Source organism: Homo sapiens, chromosome 2 (genome assembly GCF_000001405.40).
Source record: "Homo sapiens chromosome 2, GRCh38.p14 Primary Assembly".
Classification (NCBI taxonomy): domain Eukaryota; kingdom Metazoa; phylum Chordata; class Mammalia; order Primates; family Hominidae; genus Homo; species Homo sapiens.
The window spans coordinates 205,798,606-205,821,698 of NC_000002.12; the positions used below are offsets into that span (position 1 = coordinate 205,798,606).

Sequence of the window (23,093 nt, forward strand, 5' to 3'; positions counted from 1 at the left end):
AGCATCCAGGAGGAATGAGGTTTCACAAATTTGAGGTTGGTGAATGTGGAGGATTTTATTTAGTGGTGGAAGTGGCTCTCAATGGAATGGGGAGCTGGAAAGGGGATGGAGTGGGAAGGTGGTCTTCCCCTGGAGTTTGGGCATCCCTGGCCAAACTCTTCTCCGAGGTCCCGCTACCAAGTTGTCCCTCTGAAGTCAAGCTGCTTCTCTCCAACATCTGGCTGCTGCTTCTCTCCTTCTCTGCCACTCTGCCACTCTGCTGCTCTGCTGCTCTGCTGGTGGGGCCTGGGGTTTTCTTTGGGTACAGGATGGGGGACAGGGCAGGACAGGGTGGTTTTAGAAAAGGTAACATTCAGGCAGGAAAACAAGAATGTATGTTCTCACTTTGGGCCGCAGTACCAAAGAAGAGGGTGGTACCCTTACCAGATACCACCCTCTTCTACCCAGTATTTCCTTGCCTCCTGTCACTATCACTGTGTCCTGGAAAACCCTTTGTCTGAGTGAGCTTGGTATAACAGACTACCACAGACTTGGTGGCTTAAACGACAGACATACATTTCTGACAGTTCTGATGGCTGGGAAGTCCAAGATCAAGGCACCAACAGATTCAGTGTCTGACGAGGGCTCTCTTCCTAGCTTTTAGATGGCTGCCTTCTCTCTGTGTGCTCACCTGGCCTTTCCATAGAGAGAGATCTTTCTGTCTTCTTCTTCTAATAAGAGCACTAATCCCATCATGAGGGTGGGACATAATGACCCACCTCATGACCTAATCTAAACATAATTACCTCCCAAAGGCCCCAAATCCTAATACCATCAAAATGGTAGTTGAGGCTTTGATGTATGAATTTTAGAAGGACACAAACATTCAGTCCATAATACCCCTCGATCCTGGGCAAACTGAGATGGTAAGTCATCCTCTTGGGATAATGTTTCTTCTCAGCATTTGAAGCAGTAGGCTAATGGGCAGGTTGGCTTCTTATAAAATGAAGATAGTGTGGGAATGGGTGATGGGCCATCTGGCCAGATGGGCTACTTTAACTCAGAGTCCTACCTGGTAGACTTCAGAGGCTGTGACCTGTACAAACTCTTCCTCCCTGGACATCACCAGGCCCTGCAACTTTAGATTGTTTGCTCCTTCCTTTGTGGTCAAACCCTTGATTGTCAATATCTCTGGTGGTTTCAGCATCTGTGATGGTGCTTCTCAAAGTGTGGTTCTTGGCCAGCAGTGTTAGCATCATTGGGGAACTTGTCAGAGGAGATGTATATGCTTAGGTTCCATCCCAGATCTACTGAATCAGAAGCTCTGGGGGTGGGGTCTAGGGATTTGTGCTTCAGCAAAGCCCACCAGGGGAATCTGCTGCTCTTTCAAATTTAAGAACCACTGATCCAGTAGAAATGAAAATGTTTGTATCCTCCTAAAATTCCTACATCAAAGCTTCAATCCCCATCACGATGGTATTAGACCGTGCGGTCTTTGGGAGGTGATTAAGTCATGAGCTGGGTCATTAGGTCCCACCCTCATGATGGGATTAGTGCCTTTAGTGGAAGAACTATCCTGGCCTCAGGTGACTGAGGTGATTGAGGACCTTTTCACCTATTGGTTATTGGATTCAAAACTACCTAGGTAGTACAATAAGTTCCCTGGCAAGGGGGAGGGAGACACTTCATTATGAACCTCCCTCCCCATGGAAGCTCTGAACCTGAGCCAAATTTGCCACCATCCTGGGGCTCTGTTTACCCTGAAAAGGAAATTTGTTTCGGTCTCTTATTTAAGAAATGTTTTTGAGCAGTTCCTGATTTTGTAAGCTCTTAGAGCTTCCACTCAGGGAGGGGACGGGAAGCAAACAGCCAAATGCAAGAACATGATCAACAAAGGAGAAGGGCTGGAGATGGGGCTGGGAAGGTAAAGGGCCAGGACACACTGCACCTTAAGGCCCCAGTGAGGAAGTGCTCTCTCTTCTGTATCATTCTTCTGCTCTTTTTAATTGATAAAAAAGGGCAGCCCCCACTACCACCCATTCCTCACTGACCAATAATGTCACCATAGTCAAATCTCTGCAATTTCCCTCTTTGACCCTCCTGTGATCTTACGATATCTTGTGTATCCTGGGATGCCTGCTTCTATTGTATTACTGACCCTAGCAACAATAACAGAGGTTAAAATGAAAACAAATTTCTTCTCTCCTTTAGTTGAGCTTTTGGGTATTTTTAAAGCCCTAATAAACTAATAATATCTCCTGGTCCCTAGCCAGCAAGTGTTTACATAAGACCTTTTTTTTTTTTTTTTCTAATCTACATCCTTCTGGAAATGTTTACATGAAACTCAGGGGAGGCAGGCTGGCCAGTGAAATGAGGTTGGAACAGAACCATGGTTGAAGAAAACAGGACCCATCTGGATGCAGAGGCCGCCTTTGCCCCTGTGACGTTGGTGGTGTTGATGGGGGTGTGGGAGGGAACCTGAAGAGGTTGAAAGATGACTCAATTTCAGTTCTCACAGCCTTCAGGCTCTAATCCCAGGCTGAGCTAAACAAAACTCTTGGGAAAAAGATCTCTCCACCGGGGGATAAAGGGTGTGAGATGGGGAGTGGGGTGGTGGGAGGGGGTGATGGTCAGAACAGCAAATGCAACCAGTGGTGGGGGCTGAGAGCTACCTCACCATCCACCCTAGGGGCTCACAGTAACTTAACAGTCATTCCCATCAACACAATGGGAAGAGTCCTGGAAGCTTACAGGTCGCCCCAGGCTGAGGCAAAGGCAGGGCTTGCCCCTGAATTCCTATCTCTCAGAACTCTTGAGCCACCTTCGCCTGCTGCCCACCCCATCTTCCAAGGCTGGTCCTCTTCCTTCCTGAGTTTTCTCAGTGACCCTCAGAGGCAGTTCCTGGTGGAAAGACAATGCCTCTCATGTTCTCTCTGGAGGCCCAAGCAAGAGACCTCCAAGGGAACTAAGAACCAGATTACTTCTGCAGCTCATCCAGAGAATAACACCTGTTTCCTCACCCTTCCTTGTCAGAAAACCCTATAGGACAAGTGTGTGTGCGTTTGTGTGTGTGTGTGTGTGTGTGTGTGTGTGTGTGTGTGTGAGTGCTGTTCCTGTCATCACAGTTTTACAAGTGCTGTAAGAAAAGGAGGCCTTCTCACTAAGAAAACATATCCCACCTGGCCACAGTGAGTCTGAGCCCTCCCTCAACCCCTCTCCTACACAGTGGCACCAGTGCAGGAGGGTGCCCTCTCTGCAGAGGACACAGCCCAGCCCAAGCAGGGCCCACACAGTGTTCAAACCCTGACCTGAGGCCCTGTCAGGCTCACGTGCACACTGAGGTGCCTAGGCCTCTGCAGAACGCCCTTCACCAGTGGAGAGGCAAAGCCCTGGGGTCTGGGCATTCAACATGTGAGGATTTGGGGTGCTTGGTTCTAGGTCCCTTAGCAAACCCCTCACTAGACCAGCAGGCCCTGGCAGCTGTGTTCAGGCATGGACCCTTCTTTACCCTTGAGACTCTAACAGCCTCCCCAGAAACAGTGCCGTTCAGTCTGCAAGGTGCAGGCTGCAGCCTCCACAGCCCCTCAGGCTTCTCAGAACTGTCTGCAGGGCCAGGATGCCGTGGTTTGGAGCATAGCCCCACTAATTAATCTCATCCTGAAGCCCTTGACTGCCTCCACTGGGAATTGAAGCACAGCCTTGCTGCACCTCCGCCTTGCCAAGCCTCAGGCAGAACTGCCCGACAGGGCCTTGACTCCAGAGAGGGTGGCAGGCGGCCTTTCTAGATTTGCCTTCTGTCTTCACCTTTTTTCCTCCTCTCACCCCTCATCTCATCTCGCCTTGAACATTCGTGTTTCTATTCCCAGCTGACTATTTTTAATGCCTGTGGGAGTTCGAAGAAAGCTTTGTAGGGTTTTGAAATCCCCCAGTGCTCCTTTCCCCTTGAATGTGGACATGACGAGGAGGCGGAGAGCACTGTCTCAGGGCTTGGGAGACCAGGGTTCAAGATTCGGTTCTGCCTCTGCCTGTGTGACCTTGGGAAGGCCACAACACATCTTGGCTTTCCCATCTGTAAAGTGGATGTTTGGGCTACATGGATTTTGAGCCCTCAGCTATGCTATGACATCCTAGTCCATGGGGTGGTTCTGGCTGGTTGTCTGTATGTGTGTTGCACAGCCCAGCAAGGCAAAGCTCTCCGGATGCTCCCTTCCCAACATTGTCTCAGGCTCCCTTCTGCACAGACGGTGGGGATGGCATCTTTGGGCTTGACTTGATGTTATCGTGGAGCTGGACCCCAATCCCAGCTCCCCAGAGGCAGAACTGCTCTTTTCCCCAGAGCCCTTCATTCCTGTCTACTGACATAGAAACTGACATGCATATTCATCCCCCATGACCTCTTGAGGGAAGAACTGATGTATCCATTCATTTATATAATAAGCCTATTTTAGATTAAATGCCTAAACTGTGCCTCGCTAGGTGCTAGGAGACATGATCAGCAAAACAACCTGGTTCTGTCTTCGGGGACTTACAGTCTGGAAACACACAAGTGAATCAGGAAACCACACAAATATAACGATATGGCAAGAGCTCCAAAGCAAAGTGCAGAGAGCTGCGCGTGTGTAAGCAGGGACCTGAGCATTGTGTCTTATGGGAGCTGAAATCCTAGGATGAGTCAGGTGAGCAGGGGGAGAAGGCAAAGATGCTGAAGCCAAAGGAAACTTGGCTAGAGCGAAGTAGGGGGTGAGGAGGAATGTCTCATTCACCTTTGCATCAGGATCCCCGGCTCACACCTGGCACCTACTGCCTGTGCATAAGTATTTGTTGAATGAATGAATGAATGACTTGTATAAATTCCCCTCTGACAGGCATCAAGCTGCCCAGTTTGTACAGACTAAAAGATAAGTGTTTTTGTTCTTGCTTCTTGCTACCTGTTCTTCACTGTAGTAGAAAATGTGCAAGTAACCTTCCAGGAGTCTGTATGGAGAGATTATGCCATAAGTTTCAGCATGGAAATGGGCACTATTAGTTTCTGCTTAAATATGATAATTTAGGCTAAATATAATATTCAGATTAAAATTCTGTTGAAACAGTTGGAAAGTTGCCAGATTTAGCACATAAAAATGTCCCACGCAGCCACAGTACAGCAGTTCCTCAAAATGTTAAACATAGAATTACCATATGATCCAACAATTCCACTTCTAGGTATATACACCAAAAATAATTGAAAGCAGGGACTGAAACAGATATCTGTGCACTGATATTCATAGACACATTATTCACAATAGCCAAAAGGTTGAAACAGCACAAATACCTATCAACAGATGAATGAACAAAATATGGTGTGCACATACAATGAAATATTATTCATCCTGAAAATGAATGACATTCTGATACATGTTACCACAGAGATGGACTTCGAAAATATCATGCTAAGTGGAATAAACCGACACAAAAGGACAAATATGATATGATTACACTTATAGAAAGTACCTAGAATAGGAAAATTTCTAGAGACAAAGAGTAGATTAGAAGTTACCATGGGCTGGGGAAAAGAAAGAACCGGGAGTTGTTTTTTAATGGGTATAGAGTTCAGGTAATGAAAAAGTTCTAGAAATGGATAGTGGTAATGGTTGCACAACACTGTGAATATGTATAACACCCCTAAAATGTATACTTCAAAAGGGTTAAAATGGTAAATGTTATGTAGATTTTACCACAATTTTTTAAAGAGCATCTTGATTTTTTTTAAGTCCCCTGTAATACTTGGGACACACTTAAACTGAAAAATTGCTCATTATCTGAAATGTAAATTTGATGAGATGCCCTATATTTTACCTGATAATCCTAATTGAAGAGCTTTCTCTTCACCATGGGATTCCTGGGACCTTACCAAAATTTCAGGGCCATATTTCCCAAACCAAAAATTTGTGCTTAAGATTTGATAATAAAGAGTGTAGAAAACAGTTGCAGAAAGTCAGGAGGAGTCGTGCCTACCCTAATTATAGATTGAACCATAGAGAGAGGCCACAAAGTGACTCCCTCAGCCCTTGCTCACTCCATCAATGAAGAGGTAGAGATTAGAAATCTTGGTTGGTTTCCCATCTGTTGTTTAATCATCATGATCCACAAATGCTGTAAAAGCTGGTTATAAACCCCTTCTTACGATTGACCACGTGGCTAGAATTACAGTTGCAGATGGCGATGCTCATGCGTGCGACTCAGACGATAGCCTTGTCCCCTGCCATCAATGGATCTTCACACCAGAGTTGGTAAGAACCCATGGGGTGCCCAGATGCCTAATTGTACCAGCATTTGCACCCATGCCTTCTCAAAGAAAGAAACCGCCTGAACAGCTCATTGTGCAGCACGAAACAACAGGTGCAAAAGGCAAAGGCCACTTTGGAGCCATTTGGACCAAAGAACATGACTCTGCATAACAAGTGCCACAAACTTGGTGTGCCTGCATCAACCTGCCTGTGAGATGGGCTCAGCATCCTGCCACAGCCCCAGAGTCTGCAGTGGTGTTCCAGGTGGTCCCACCTACTCCTTCTCTCAACAGAATGAAAGACAGCTGGGAGGGCATAGCACGAAGTGATGGGTCGCGTCCAATTCATTTTTACTAGGTGCTGACAAGTCACTGCAAAAGTCTGGAAATGTGTAGCACAGCAAAAACACACGGGTCACAATGCACTGGTGAATGATTACCACAGGAGAAATTCATTACAGGCTGCTCTCAGCTCCCATCACATAAGGAAGTGTTACATTAACAAGATGGAAGGTCCCTGTGGTCCCCTCCCCAACACAGCCCCCACTGCCACCGCCTGCCACCCCACTATTTCAATTTGTGTTGCATGGTGGGAACAGAGCCCACAGGCGGGGGAGGTTAATTCTGCTGCACTAATCAAAAAGGGGGACGCAGTGGCAGCCAAAGCCAAGCGAAGCAGATTTGACCTGCGCACTGCATGAAATCCCTTCTGCCAGCCTGCACCGGTTAGGACCGTCATCTTTGGGCACCTAGATGTGGCACGAACACAGGGTGACTCTTCTGTTAGCTGTTCATGTAACTTGCTTCCTATGGAGAGAGCGTGTTGTTTCCCTATACCCTCATCCCTGGCCCTCATCCCTATTGGCACCCAGTTCCCTTGGGTTTTTAACCTTTTCTCACACAGACACTGACGGGGAACCTAGTTGTTGCCAGCATGGAAGCTGTGCTAGAGACTGTGGAGTAGCCAAGAAGAATAAGACATGCTGGGCTTGGAGCTGCTCTGGAACAAGTTCGGGGGTGATGGGGACGGAGCACCTCCCATTTGTAGAGGTTGATAAATCAAATGGCCTTTAGGTCCTTGCTCTCCAGTGTCACATGCAGTCTATGTCTCGTTCTTCCCTCTAATCTCCCTTCTCCAATTACCACTTCCCACATTAAGGATTCACGGGCCACAAATGGAGGGTCAGCAGAGAGGCAACTGCGTGAGACAGAAGGGTCAACAGTTCTTCCTTAATGGGATTTCTGCTCCTTCAAGATGCCATTCACATGCAGAGGCACCGGCCAAAGGGACCTACTTTTAAAGTCAAATGCACGGCCAGGCCCAAGATGGATGGCTCTGCCTGGGAAGGGGGGCTCTGGACAGGTGCCTTCCTAAGGAGCCCAAAACACTCAGTGTCTTGGCCTCACTCCTGTGCCCCACCTCTCGCCACTGAGAGGCCCGGTGAGTTCCTGTAGCAAATGTCAGCCTGAAGTGGATGAGCCAACCCCAGCGCACTCACCAGCCAATGCGATGTTAAATATTAAACCTCCCTGTAGCCGGCCTGGGCTGAAAGCCGCCGTTTCATTATGCAGCTTTCTCTGGGCTTAAGAAGAAGAGAGCTCGCCTCTCCCAAAAGCTCACCGTGGAGACTCACCCTCAGCCTTCTGGGCATCAGGGAAACCTTCAAAACGGTTCAATTTGTCCAAGCCCATCTATCTTTAATGTCACAGTCTACATTTTCTCCTCTCCTCCTTTTTCAAAGCAGCCAAAAAGGAAAATGTCACTGCATTTGGGGCCAATTCAAAAGCCAGGCTTAGACAAATGTTCTATTTCGTTCTCCCCAGCCCCGGTGTTTTTATCTCCTGCGGTGTTTTCAGGGACTGCACCTCACCCCACTCCACTCCTGTGTTCACCTGGTGTCTTTCTGGCCCGCTTTATTGTGTGTCCTTCGCTCACCTTCTTCACTTCTCAAAGTCCTCTTTGTGACTGAGCCTCTGCTAGAGAACATGATGTTGATTGTGTCGTTTTTGTTTTGTTTTGTGTTTTTGAGACGGAGTCTTCCTCTGCCACCCAGACTGGAGTGCAGTGGTGCAATCGCGGCTCTCTGCAACCTCCGCCTCCCGGGTTCAAGCCATTCTCCTGCCTCAGCCTCCCGAGTAGCTGAGATTACAGGCGTGAGCCACCATGCCTGGCCCACGATATTGATTTTTACGGGGGTAGTGGGGTCTCCCTGGGGGGACTGCCAGGTGAGGCTGCTGCCACCCCCTTCCACTTCCCAAACAGGTTTGGAGGTTCAGCAGCTGATACACGTAAATGTCCCCAGTTCTGCCTTTTAGAAACTGTATTCCCCAAATTTGTCCAAAACACATGGAATTGTCCCCAGCCGTGGCAGATGCGGTTAGGAGCACTGTTGGCACCTCCCCTCCCCTGTGTGCCTTAAAAAGACCCTTTAAGCTGTGCAGGGCAGGTGGCAGCTCAGATGAAGATGACAATCAGAATGTATCGCTGACAGTCTCTGGCTCACCCAGGAATAGAGAGCCAAAGCACTGATTGATACCTGAGAGGGTAGCTGTCTTAGGGAGGACACAGAAGAGAGATAAGGGACTCAATCAGTGTCAGAGCTGTCCCAACACAACACAGCCATTAATCACTTTGGGTAAAGATTCTTGGCTGCTGAAGTAGAGGAGGGCGAGCAGGTAATAGAAAAACAGAGGGAGAAGCAGCTGTGTGGGCTGGACAGTTCCAGGATGGACAAGGCGCTTGGCCTCACCTGGATGGATGGACAGGCAGGCCTGATTTGGAGATCTCCATCTGTCCATTCTCAGCCCAAGGAAAATGCCCACAGGATTTTCCTAAATTCATTGCACAGAATTAAAATATAATCCAGGGTGAACTTTAAAGTATGTGAATTATGTCTCAATAAGGCTATTATAAATATATAGACTCCAATCAGCAGCCCAGGACAGCTGCAGTAGAAACCCTCCCTCCTGCCGCCCTCCCACCACATGGATGCAGAGGAGACCATTGCTGATATTCTCTCCTTGTCCTTACCCACTGGTACCTGAATGAGATGCAGCACGTGGTGAACCATGAGGAAAACAGGGCTCAAAGACTCAGCATTTCGATGAGAAAAGATCCCTCCCATTCCAGAAAGCCGCAAGACTGCACTTCAGCAATTCCCAACCATATTACGCATGTGATTAGAACTGGCCGAGCACATTTTAGAGACTGTCTTTCAATGTGTTTTAATTAGACATTTAAAAACAATAACCCTGTTTTTTTGTCCAGGGAACAGAGATTCCTAAGTTGGAAATAATGAATGGATTAGTGATTAATTCATTGCTGGCAGGTGTGGGGAGAAGCTGTCTGTAGCTTCTTAGTTTTTTTTGTCCCCTTTCTCTCTTAAGATTGTTCTTTCTTATTTTAATTAATTTTCTTGCCACCCCAGCACTTCTCTTATCAAATATTCAAATAAACTAAACAAGTGGAGTATACTGAGACCAAAGTACTCAATATGGTGTTTAATTGGAATTGTAGCCTGTTTTCTCCCTGAGGGGTAGCAGATACCTGGAAGCTTTTCCTGGCAGTGGAAATGGACTCCAAAAGTGCATTTTTAGCATCTAGTTAATCTTCCTTTCAGGTGCCGAGGGCATGGCTTGATTGAAACAGGGAGCAGCCATTGGGTGATTTGTGGTTACTCTTGCCTTGCCTGGTAAGGAACAGAAGTGAGAACATAGCGAGGCTGTGAATCTTCTCTCCATTCACTCTGCTCCACTGTTTGCATGCTTGTGTCTGTGCCACATGAATGCTCGACACTGGGGGCATGATCCAGCTGTTGGACATGCCAGGTCTGGTGACGGCTGCCTGCCCTCGGCTGCCAGCATCTCACTCAGCTCAGCAGGAGGGCTGCCATCACTGCTGATGCTTACAACATAGTTTGGCACAAATATCCTGCATCCATGTCCTCAAACCCAAGCCACAATCAGCAGGGAGGGGCAGGGCATGTGCTCATGTGCAAGGGCCACAGCACTAGCCTCTCAGTGAATGTGAACTTTATGGTCTGTCCTTTTCAAAAGAACACTGCTCAGAACAGCTATGGCGCAGTGCACTTTCTAAACTCGGGACTATCTTGAATGAGTGAGCAGTCCCGTATGACACTAGATCTGCAATGGAGCCAGAGCTGTTGGCTACTTCAAAATGAGTTACAGGTTTCAGAACACCACTTGGTGCCTTCTAACAGTGTGAGATCCCTTAGCAGAGACAGCCTTGGCTACCTTCTCAAAAGCAGCCACATGGTTGAGCCCTGACCATATATTTATCCATAAATGATGGTGAGTACTAATAAAGAAGGAATGGAAGAGGAGTTTTTAAGGTGGGTCTCTGGAGGCCATGGTTTCATTCAGCCCAAAGTATTTTCCTCCAGATTGAAGCAAAGACAGAAGTAGCCTGCTGTGACTAATGGAGCTCAGGTGATTGCTTGCCAAGCATTTTAATAATGGGGTGGCTGACAGGTGGAATAGGGTGGGGATGGTGGAAAAGAGCAATGGACAGTAGGGACATGGTCAGCAGTTAGCTGGTAAAGAAATGAGCATTGCTTCCAAAGGCTTCCAAAACTAGGCAGCGGGGAATGAGGGATTCAGCCAGAGGAAAGATTTCCTGGTACTTCCCTCCATTTTTTTTTCTCTCTCCCAAGTTTGGAAGCATCAGAGCTGGAAAATTGGGACACACATCCCTAAAGGAGTTCCTATTGGGTGACCATGTATATGGTTTTTAAATTCTCAAGGATAAACTACTGGACAGCTACAAAGAAAAGGAGAAAGTTCTTTATGTATAAATATGAAAAGATCTTTAAGACATACAGTTAAACAAAAAATCAAGGTGAAGAACCATGCCTAATATGCAGGATATGTAATTTGTAATTTGCAGAGTCCAGTGTGAAATGAAATTATAGGGTTCAAAATTATTAAGAATTTCAAGCCAGTGACAGCAAAGCATGAAATCAACTGCACCACCCTCCTGCACTCAGAGCCCTGTGTATCTTCCACACTCCCACGCAGTCAGTCCTGCCGGTATGTTTCCATTGCAGTAAACCTAAAATGTTAAGTAAGAAATAAGTACGGTTTTCCTATGGGCAGGGGGGCTGAGAACTACGAGGAAGGAGGACAAAAGAGGGAGGAGAATTTCCACTGTATACCTATTTATATTTGTCAATATTTGAATCATGTAAATGAATTACCTATTCAAAAATTTAAATAATTTAAAAAAGTCCTCAGGGCTCCACAAAACCCCATGCAGACCCTAAGCAACACGTGGAATCCCATTCACATTTATCAGTGATTACATGTTGCTATGTGGAGGTCCTGTGCATGGGAAGAAGCTATGAGAACAGAAGCATCTGATTATAATAACTGAAGCAACAGCTATCCTCTTTCTCACCCAGTCACTTGCTTGCCACTGGACATAGATTTCTATGAAGCCAAATAAAACAGAAAATGTTTTCTCACTCTGTGATCTCTATCAGGTTCCTCTCACCCCTGTGAACTTCAGTAGGCCTCGGGCATATGGGCTACTGCTTATTTTCACAGCTGCCCTATAGGTTAATAAGTGCTACTCTTCTGAGCAGAGAGACTCTAAATCTCATTAAAAGAGTGGGTTAGATGAATGCATCCACAGTAACAGTAATAATCAGAAATAACAAGGTGCTTCCAGTTTGACAAGACCCACTTGTGTGTCTCCACAATGGTGCCACTCAGAGAAATGGGAGGCACCTTGTATTAGTGTGTTCTCACACCGCTATAAAGAACTACCCGAGACTGGGTAATTTATTAAAAAAAAAAAAAAAGAGAGAGAGATTAATTGACTCACAGTTGCGCAGGCTGTATAGGAGGCAATGGATGGGGAGGCCTTAGGAAACTTACAATCATGGGGGAAGGCGAAGGGAAAACCAGTATGTCTTACGTGGTGGGAGCAGGAGGAAGACAGAGAGAAGTAGGAGGTGCCACACATTTTAAAACAACCAGATCTCGTGAGGACTCTATTACAAGAAAGCATTCAGGGGATGGTACTAAGCCATTAGAAGCCACCCCCATGATCCAATCACCTCCCACCAGGCCCCACCTCAAACACTTGGGATCACAATTCAACATGAGATTTGGGTGGGGACACAGAGCCAAACCATATCACTCCTGAACCACAAATAATCAAATCAATAATAGTTTGCATGTATTGAGTACCTACAATGTATTAAATGAATTATTCATTTAATCCTCACGATTCCTGCAAGGCAGATTCTACTGCTTTTTGCATTCTATAGATCAGGAGAAGTCCAAAAAGGAGAAGTAACTTGCCAAACACTGCCCTGTAAGTAAAGGAAGGAGCCAGATTTGAACACAGACATTCTAGCGCCAAAGACCATACTCTCAACCGTTAATCACAAAGAAGAGAAGCCTCGCTTTTCAAGTAAATGATCCATATAGTAAAGATCATTGGCTAAAATGTAGTACATCATCTTAGCCGTTCCACTCAACAAAATCTTCTACCCTCCAGAACACAATGGGGATAATTTAGAAGTAAGGGCTGCAGATTTTTATTTTGGTAAATATGGCTATGAATTCTTTTGTGCCATCAAGTCAGATGAATGCTAGGCTCACCATTGCTTGAGGCCTGCATTAGTGTTCAGTATGGCCCTGAATTCTCTATTCTTTGGAAACAACATTTCTAAGATGATGGCAACTTGACAGCTCTTGGAAACAATTTCCTAGGGACTTACCCACAAGATCTCCAAGTGATGCAAGAGGCTGAGGCAGTTAAGAAGAGTGAGGGAGGAATTACTTCCAAGAGTACAGATAAGTCAAGAAAATAATCTAGAGTCACAGAAGATCAAGATCAGAGGCAGATGTTCACATTCCTGGGCTGAGGAAAAGACTCCAGGCCTTGGCTCAAATTGGCCGTAGAAATTGTATGAAGGTGGAATTAAACCCCAACATTCCCTGGGAACTTTCCCCCTTCTAAGTTGTCTAAGACACCAAGAACAAGTATCTATACAAGAGTACTGTACACATATCTGTACTATCTATCTTGTCCTGCATTTATCTTCTACCAAATTGTGGTGTCTACTTTGATGAGAAAGCCAATTTCAGATCTTTCTGTCTCAGAACCAAAAAACACTACAAGGCACAAGATGGGTCTTTAATATATGTTTGTTGAAATGGCAAATGAATGAATGAATGATTCATCAGTCAATTGATAAACACCCTTAATCCTTAATAGCCATGTTATGCAAGTAATATCTCATTATGACAATTCAACCTCTCCCTGCAGCTCACCAATAAAATATTCAAATGTTTTTTATTCTAATGACACTTTGTGATAATTGCTAGAAATCCTATTCCCAGGAGGCAGGAGCCAAAGATGAAACCAAACCAATATCAGATTTCCTCATCAAGACTTGGAAAGTGAAAACAAAATGACTTGAATGCAATAAAAGGGAATATTTTGCAGATCAGCTTAATATATTGCCCTTGAAGTGCTTAAATGTGTTTGTGTGATGTTGTCAAGTAACTACTCAATAAATACTTTAAAGCTTGTTTGGCTTGTTGAAATTTAAAATATTAAGAAAAAGAAAAGAAGTTTGACTGATTTTTGCAAATTCAATACCCAAAGTAGTGTAGAAGAAAATAAAAGCAGCTGGGATTTGTGTAGTTGCTAATTTAGTTGAAGAATAATCATCCATCTAAGCAAAAATACTTCCTCTGCCACATCTGGAGAAACCAGTTGTAGAGGGAAAGTGTGGGTTGGTTGCCAAAAGGACATTTTCCATATTGAAGAAAATCTTAATTTTATGCAAATTGCCATTCGATCTTTTATTTTTTTTCTCTTTCCTCTTTCAAAGCAATGAAATACAGGAAGCAAAAAGGTGATTTGGAGACTTTTATGGAATTGATAAAGTCATACTTTCTTAGGAAAGAGATTAGCTGAAACTTGGCCAGGTGATAAGACATTACAAGAAGGTCAAAGTATTAAAGATTTCCAAAAAAAGCTGCAGGATGAGAAAGTCTGCCAGTAGCTTATAAGAAGAGACCAAGGGATTGGGGATTTTCAACATTAACAGGAATTGAAAATCTGGACCTTTACTTAAAGGAAAAGTAGAGTTACTTTTAAACAATGATTGATAATAATCAAAGTCTACTGGGATAAAGAACTTAACCTGAAGACAGATTTTTTGGTAGAGTATTTCTTTGTATGTTGTTCTACGTTGAGTATTACTTTCTATACTGTTCTTACTATTTTATATTTAGATTTTTTTGGGGGGGGGGACTAAGTCTCGCTCTTGTCACCCAGCCTGGAGTGCAATGGCACAATCTCGGCTCACTACAACCTCCACCTCCCAGGTTCAAACGATTCTCCTGCCCCAGCCTCCCAAGTAGCTGGGATTACAGGCACCTGCCAACCCATGCCTGGCTAATTTTTGTATTTTTAGTAGAGACGGGGTTTCACCATGTTGGCCAGGCTGGTCTGGAATTCCTGACCTCAGGTGATCCGCCCACCTCGGCCTCCGAAAGTGCTGGGATTACAGGAGTGAGCCACCCTATAGTTATCTTTAATTTGCATTTCTGTTTTTCTCAAAACAAGTGATTCTCAAAACTTTATCTGCATCAGAATTACCAAGGAAGTCTTTTAAAAATGGAGATTCCTAATCCCAGATAGTCAAATTCATTGGGTATGGGGTTGGGGTTCAGGAATCTGTGTTTTAACAAAGTAAAGGTAATAGGGCCTGGATAATTTAATGCAAGTGATTCACACCTCACTTTTGAGAAGTTACTCTCGTTAAATATGTTCCAGGTACTGTCCCGGATCTCTGCAGCTGTAGCAACGAAGCGCCACCTACTGGAAATTTACCAAATTACAGGCATAATGGAAAGGAGAACCGAGAAATCAGTGTAGTGATTTTGTCATTTAACTGTGATGTTGTCAAATAACACTCTATAAATGTTTCAAAGCTTACCTGGCTTATTCAAATTTAAAATATTAAGAAAATTAAAATAGGTTTGAATGATGTTCACAAATTCATACTAAAAGTAATGTGGGAGAAAAATAAGCAGTGGATTTGTATAATGACTAATTTATTATAAAGTTTCAGAGTCTAGGACACATAGAAACAGGACACAGGAGGAAGGTTGGAAAGCCACAGAAACACATTTTACCTACTTTTCTATTCTTCCTGCTTCTCGCTGGAAGTAATGGGCTGATAATTAACCTCAAGCCAATTTGTTATGCTTGATTTAAGAAGTCACCATTTGGCTGCAAATCTGTTTTGCCCCACTTGCACATCTCTCCAGGTAAGGCATGTCCAAACCTGCCTTACTCATTCTATGTATGTTCTTCTGATTCCATTGCAACCTCTCCCTCATGTGGGAGGATGTGGGAAGGAAATGGAATTGAATGAAAAGGAAGTCTGTACCAGACAGCATTTTGCCCCCTCCCAAATACATATCATGACAACCATCAAGGAATAGGAGCTCTGGGTGACACAGCTTCCTCCCATGGAGAGGTGTTTGACTTGGGAAGTAAGATACTGCTATACCAACCTCTCATTTCTCCATTCATCAGCAACAATAGATGGCACAAGGCATCCAACCCTTGCAGGAAGCAGCTGCCTTACAGCATGGCATGAAAAAGCATGGAGCATTTGGCTTTAGACAGTAATTTACATGACCAAGGGCAAATTACTTAGCCTCTCTAAGCATCATTTTCCTCCTCTATTAAAGAGGTATTCTTACCTTGTGGGGTTGTAAGAATTTGAGTAATACATGCAAAATGCCTGGGATGTAATAGGTGTTCAATAAATGGTAGTTATTATTTTATGCATGAGACTCGGGCTAATGTATGTGTGAGCATTTAGTTATTAATTAGAAGGTAAATGAAAGCTGGCTGGAGGGAATTGCATTTGACCTTTAGCAAATTATTTCATTTAGATGCGCTGATGCAAAACTCTCACGTCTTATGAAGAAAGACAAAAATAAATCGGGCTGACAAAAGATATTTTAAAAAATACTCAATCTCCCTCCAACATCCTCTCAGTCTATGGCCACCCCACTATAATTTATATGCCATCTGAGGAGATGTTTGTGCCTTTCCCTCTCTTGTCATAGTCAATCGCTGGCTGATCAGGGGCCAGACTCAGCTCTGAAAAACCTTTTTGAGAATCTGCATCTAATGACTGCTCCAAAAAAGAACTCCTAATGCTTTTCGTTTTTCCTCCAAATAAGCTTGCCGTCAAATTAGCTTAGGTGTATTGTCTAAATTATCCCTAGGCTGAGTTTGGCACAACCGGTGCAACATGATGCAGGGGCCTGATGCATTTGTTTCTCCACAGGCCCATTTTATTGAACGACAAAGAGAACCTGCCACACTCCATGTAAAGCACCTTATGGGAGCCCATGTTATGGGAGTCCATTTGTTTGCAGAACCATGGTCTATTACAGGAAGGGCAGAAGCATCTGTGCCAGCTGATGAGAGGAAAGGGAAAAGAGAAAGTGACAAAGGTTTGCGGCAGACCAGAAACAGAAGAGACACATAGACACATCGTGACCTTATCTTGCAAATCCTTGGAAGTTCACTATGTGTGCAGGAGTTCTGAGACTTGACAAATCAATGGGAGACAAAAGAAGGAGGGCTAATGAGAGGATGAGGATCCATGAAGGTGTTTCCATGGTGGAGAGCAATGCATGAAAGAAGTAGCAGCTTGCAAGAGACTAAGAGCGATTAAAAGGCTGGGGCTAGCCCTTTTTGGCAGAAAAGGCAGTGACAAAGAACTGACTGACAGCAGTAGGGAAGAAGAGAGCTAAGTCTACTGCACTTAAGGGAAAAAAGAACTAGAAAAAAAAGGAGAGCTGTAACAGGAAATCAATTGCTGATACTACCCTGCTGGAAATATTGCAGATCCCACGACTAAAAGGAAAGAGATTGGTGTTTTTCACATGTGATTCTCTCACGCTGTATAACACATGGGTAATTGGTGCTATCAGGGGCCTCATCTTCAGTTTCTCTGTCTCTCAACATAGCTGGGATAAGGATGTATTAGAAAGTCCAACCCAATGAACTTTGCAAAAGGGCTGTGATTAGCTTTGGAAGGCTCCGACTGTGCAAGCAGCCAATATAATAAGCTCACTTGTTGTGACTGATTACAGCTATTACCAAGCCTGCATATTTCTGCCTTCTAATGCCCACAGAGGAGTGGGAAGGAAAGTCAGCCAAGCATCCCTGGGACTGGTTTATTAAGCTAATATACCAGGCATTGCCCATTTTGCATCCTGAGAAGCCATCAAGCCCTTTGAACTTAGCATTTTCATTAGAAATCATCTATTTTAAATAATGATACAGTGAATCTTTAGACTGCTTTTTATCCAAGGACCTCAAAATACATTACTATTACTGCTGATTCTTAGCATTTGGAAGATGGTATTACATTAATTTTCTAGATGGTTAAACCAAAGCATCTAATGGTGAAATGCAAAATCAGCTGCAAAGGTAGGGAGAGTTTAGAGTACTCATTTATCTTATCATTTATCTCCATAACTCCATTTACTGTGCACATGCCAGTACCCAGAGGCATAATTATGAGCTAGGAGCACATGAAGACTTTATGAATGTCCATTTGTGGAGGACATTGCTCATGTTGGTGGCTGCCTGACAACTTTCAGGTATGCTTCTTATGTTTGGGGAGGAGCTCACTTTCCTAGTTTCCTTTGCAGGGGCAAGGCAGACATGTGACCTGGAATCTACTAATCAGATGCTCTGGTGAAAGCAACAAGTCTGATTTCTGGTGCAGAAGTTGAACACAGCAAATTATAGTGTCAATGTCGTGATGGTGGCAGCAGAAGCTTCCCCATCAAACCAGTTTGACAGCACAGTCGTAGGCATGTTTCTGGAAGTTTAACCTCTTACCTGGTTCTCCAGCTCTTAAAATGATTTTACAAACTCTTTTTAACAAACACTTTCTCTGCAAAATTAGCCAGACTCAGCTTCTGTCACTTGCATCTAAAAACCCTGAAAAGTATTCCCTTATAGCCCATGAAAAATAGAGGGTTACAGACCTTTTTTAGTACTTTTAGATGGTTTGAAAACTGATTATCAGTCCATTTTGAAACTTAATTTACTCAATTAATATTTAGTATTTACAAATATCTAGTATTTATTAAGCACCTACTATGTGCAAAACACTGTGCTAAGTATTGTGGGAAACATTTTCTGAGTGCTTGCTGTGTGCACTCAGCAAATATTTCCCACAATACTTAGCACAGTGGCAGACATGGCCAGTACCCCCAGGATCTTACAGTCTATGGGGATCAAACAGGAGCAGACAGACTAGGTCAGAGGCAGTTTTAGTAATTCAAGAAAGAGTTGATGGTAGTTTAGACAAGGGAATTAGGGGTGGAGATACAGGAAAAAAAGGACAGATCCAGAAGATATCTAGGAGGTAAAAATAGAGGGAATTTGGCAATAGATTGGATATGGGGAAATGCAATGGGGTCGTAGACGACTCCTGGGTTTGTCATTTGAGCCTCTGGATAGACAGTGGTGTCCATCCCTGAGAGAATGTTGAAAGAAAACCAGATTTTGTAGGGACATCGCAAGTTCAGTCTCAAATGTGTTAAATAAGTTGCCTTTGGGGCATCCATGAGGCAGTTGCATATTAACGGATCTGGAACTTAGAATCCAGGACTGGGCTGAAGTCATGAAGAGTCCTTGCGTAATTGACATAACTGTGTGAATGGGATTTCTTAGGGAAGAATATAGCCTGAGAACCAGAGAGGACCTTGGATTTGTTCTTAAGGAGTATCAAATATAGGTCTAAAAATTAGGGGAGCCACTCATCAATGGTTACCAAAAATCTAGTTCACCTATTTAAAAAAAAAAAAAAAGTGAAACACATTAATCAAAGAAACATGTCTTGATTCTCCAAGTACAAACTCTTCTATAATAATGATCCCACACTCAGAGACCAGCCCAGTCTACTACTAAGTCAATGGGCCAGGTAGGGCCTGTGGCACACAGGAAAGGACATGTCCTGTCTAAAGAGAGCAGCTGATTCTAAGCTCAGACAAGTTATTCCCATATATAATACCTATATCCAAATCCCTCTATTAAATTCCCCACTGTTTGAAATAATTGCCATGATTTTACATTTATCTGAATGCACCTTGACAAAAACAGCATTATCCCAGATTTCTAGAGTCAGAGCCCAATTCTTGCTTCTGACTTGGAAACAATCTTCAGTTACCTTAAATTATTTTCCTTACTAAAGTCCCCTATTTTTCTATTTCCAAATGGCATTGATACCTACAAAAGACAGATCTTCTACTGCGAGTGTTTTTCCTAGCTTCTACAACTCCCCAAAATTATCTTCCAGTGTCTAAGACTCTAACGACAGTTGTCCCACCCTACAATCCCCTTCATTACTCAAATTCATCCTAAAAAAAAAAGGGTAACTTGGTATTCTGGCCCCATGGTGTGGAATGTAAGGAAAAGCGATCAGCTGAACAAAGAGTAATCATCTCCTGGCCCCGTAAGACAGGTTGGCATTAGGAAGCAAGACAGTAGGTTCCTATGCTCCTACCAGCATATCTGAGTGGTAGAGCCCAGGTCACATATCTGCATTGCAGCTGCAAAGGAGACTGGGAAGGTGAGCTCCTACCTCAAACCTACGGATGAACTTTAGAAGCCAGAGACAGAAGGGAAGGACAACAGGTTCTGGAGCAACGTTGAAGATTACAGAAAGAATGGGAGGAACTGGCTCTCAAAGTTAATTAATTCTGGCCTCTGATACTTTTGCCATTCAACATCAGTATATTTTCCTGAAGGTCTAGGAGATATATATATATATAGATATATAGATATATAGATATATAGATATATATATAGATATATAGATATATATATATAGATATAGATATATATAGATATAGATATAGATATAGATATAGATATAGATATTTTTTTTTTTTTTTTAAGACGGAATCTCGCTCTGTCGCCCAGGCTGGAGTGCAGTGGTGCGATCTCGGCTCACTGCAAGCTCTGCCTCCCGGGTTCACGCCATTCTCCTGCCTCAGCCTCCCAAGTAGCTGGAACTACAGGCGCCTGCCACCACGCCCAGCAATTTTTTTGTATTTTTAGTAGACACGGGGTTTCACCGTATTAGCCGGATGGTCTCAATCTCCTGACCTCGTGATCTGCCCACTTCTGCCTCCCAAAGTGCTGGGCATGAGCCAAAGTACAGGCATGAGCCACCGCACCTGGCCGAAGATATTTTTTATTATGTGCATTCAGAATTTTTTGCCTTCTCAATATTCCTCTGCAAGAGTACATTGCATGTACTAATTATAACTGCCAGCTATTGACTAAATCTGATATGTAGCTGAACTGGATTTATTTCTTAGCTTAGTGTTACAGCACACACACACCTAATCAAGTTCTCCCTCCCCCTTCCCACCTCCTCCAACCCCAAACTATAATTATTAAACCAAGAAATGTGAAACAAAGCACACCATCAGCACACGTGTGTGGTAAAGCAGCCACCGTGACTTGCCCTGCTTCAGCATCACCAGGTGAGACAACCACACACCTTGCCTTGTATTGCAGCTTCTAAGGCAAACATCCTTCAGGAAACATGATACAGGACCAGAAACAAGAGTATAATTACAAATCTGTTGTTATTTTCTACAGAATCTTGGTTGGGGTGAGTAAGAGCTTCCCTCCAAAATTCCCTTTTTGTTGACATTTGGCAGGACTTCTGTCAACAAAATTACATCAACCAACACCTAGCAGTATCTGGCATGTGGTAAATACTCAATACCTGTTTTTAAGAATCAGAAGAAAATCCAACGAAAATGAGCCCTGTCTAATCTCATAAGTGAAAAAGTTAAAGCAGTTAGTATAGCAGTTAGTGCCAAGTACTTAGTAAGTGCTATGTAAGTATGAGCTATTGGGGTTATTATCATTATCTAGAGTCACTGTTGCTTCTTGTTCACATTCTGGTCATCCAGAAGGTCCTCTCCCATTTCCCTCTGTCCTGTCCTCCCTCTTATTTAAATACTATCAACTACAAATAATAAAATAAATACTATCACAATTTGCAAGGAAATTTAAACCACCCCCTCCTCTCTCTCTTCTCTCTGTCTCTCTCTCTCACATACACAAACACACACACACACACACACAGTGAGAGAGCATAGCCTCGCTCTCATGCACTGCTGATGGGAGTGTATGAAGCACAACTCCTACAGAAGGCAATTTGGAAACAGCTACCAAAATTACAAACGCATGGCTCGGCATGGTGGCTCACGCCTGTAATCCCAGCACGTTGGGAAGCCAAGGTGGGCAGATCACTTGAGCCCAGGAGTTTGAGACCAGCCTGGACAACATGATGAAACCCTGTCTCTATTAAAAATACAAAAATTAGCCAGGTGTGGTGGTGCATGCCTATAATCCCAGCTATTCAGGAGGCTGAGGCAGGAGAACTGCATGAACCCAGGAGGCAGAGGTTGCAGTGAGCCAAGATCACACCACTGCACTCCAACCTGGGTGAAAAAACAAGACTCCACCTTAAAATATATATATATATATTTTTTTTTAAATTACAAACACTTAGACTTCTCAACCCAGCAGGCTGCATTGGAGAGTTTATTTTACAGATTAACTCTGCACCCATGTGACATGTAATATGTACAAGATTGTTTATTGCAGTCTTGTTTGAAATGGCAAAATGAAAATAAGCCAAGTGTTTGCCAGTAGGGAACTCACTAAATAAACTTTGTAATAAGCATAGAATGGAATATTATACAGCGATGAACCAAATTTTCAATGAGGAAGACCTCTATGTACTTACATAAGAAAATCTCCAAAATATATTGCTAAGTTAAAAAAATAAGGCACATAAGGACAGTGTACAAAACATCTCAAATTCTGTATAAAAAAGCAGGGAATAAAAATGTATACTTCTATTTGTTTTACCTTAAGAAACTCTGGAAAGATATGGAGGAAACTAAGAGGAATGATTGTCATGGCAGGGAATGGAGAATTAGGCCAATGAAGTGGGTGAGGGGAAACAGGGTAAAAAGGAAAACTTTTTACCATAAAACTTTTTATTGTCTATTCAACATAGATGAAAAAGAGAGAGAGAGCGTGCACCATCTTTTTTTCAAGGAGAAAGGAAAGAAAACCTGGTCTTCTCTCTGAGGCGCTTATTTGCCTGCCATGAGCTATGGTTGAAGTTGATGCCCTGGAAGTTCGCCATCTTGAACAGTCCTAGTCCCCATTTTCCAGGCTTCTTCCCCTCCACACTTTGGCCTGGGCTGGGAAACTGTCCCTAGAGAGCTGGACCCCTGTGCTGACTAGCTTAATACAGTCTGTTGGGCTATGATCCTATGTGTACACGCATGTATTCCTTCTGGGACACAAGAGTATAAATTAAGAAAAATCTCTTGGATCCCAGACTCAGTATTATAACTCTTCATTTCTTTGCTTTCATTGGTTTCAAGTCAGCCATTTAATATGATTTGCAAATAGCTTTGTGTGGTATGATATTAGAGGTCAGAAGACTTCTCAATCCATCTAAAAATACATAAACACGCCACAACAAAAATCCATTAAAGTAGAAATAGCTAATCTCTTACATAAGGAGAATAAATAATTCACCTCCAGGCTCTCCCACCATAAATCAGTTGTGCCCTTATCAGACACCGGTGCTGGAGTAGAAAAGTACAGCAGCTGTATTCAACTTCGACAATAAAAAGAGGGGGGTGGAAAAACTAGGGATGAAACATTTGTTTTCTTTCCATGTACGTCTCCAAACAGACTACATAATAAATA

The 23,093-nt window shown here is 43.6% G+C and overlaps 1 long non-coding RNA gene across 3 annotated transcripts in view; it reads right to left on the minus strand.

The window, feature by feature from the left end:
* The window catches only part of LOC105373847 (uncharacterized), a 44,502-nt gene continuing 21,651 nt past the window's right edge, over positions 243-23,093 (minus strand). For all 3 annotated transcript variants that reach the window (XR_923802.3, XR_923803.3, XR_923801.3), the window contains exon 4: positions 243-295. This is a non-coding gene — a long non-coding RNA (uncharacterized LOC105373847). The remainder of the gene's footprint in view (positions 296-23,093) is intronic.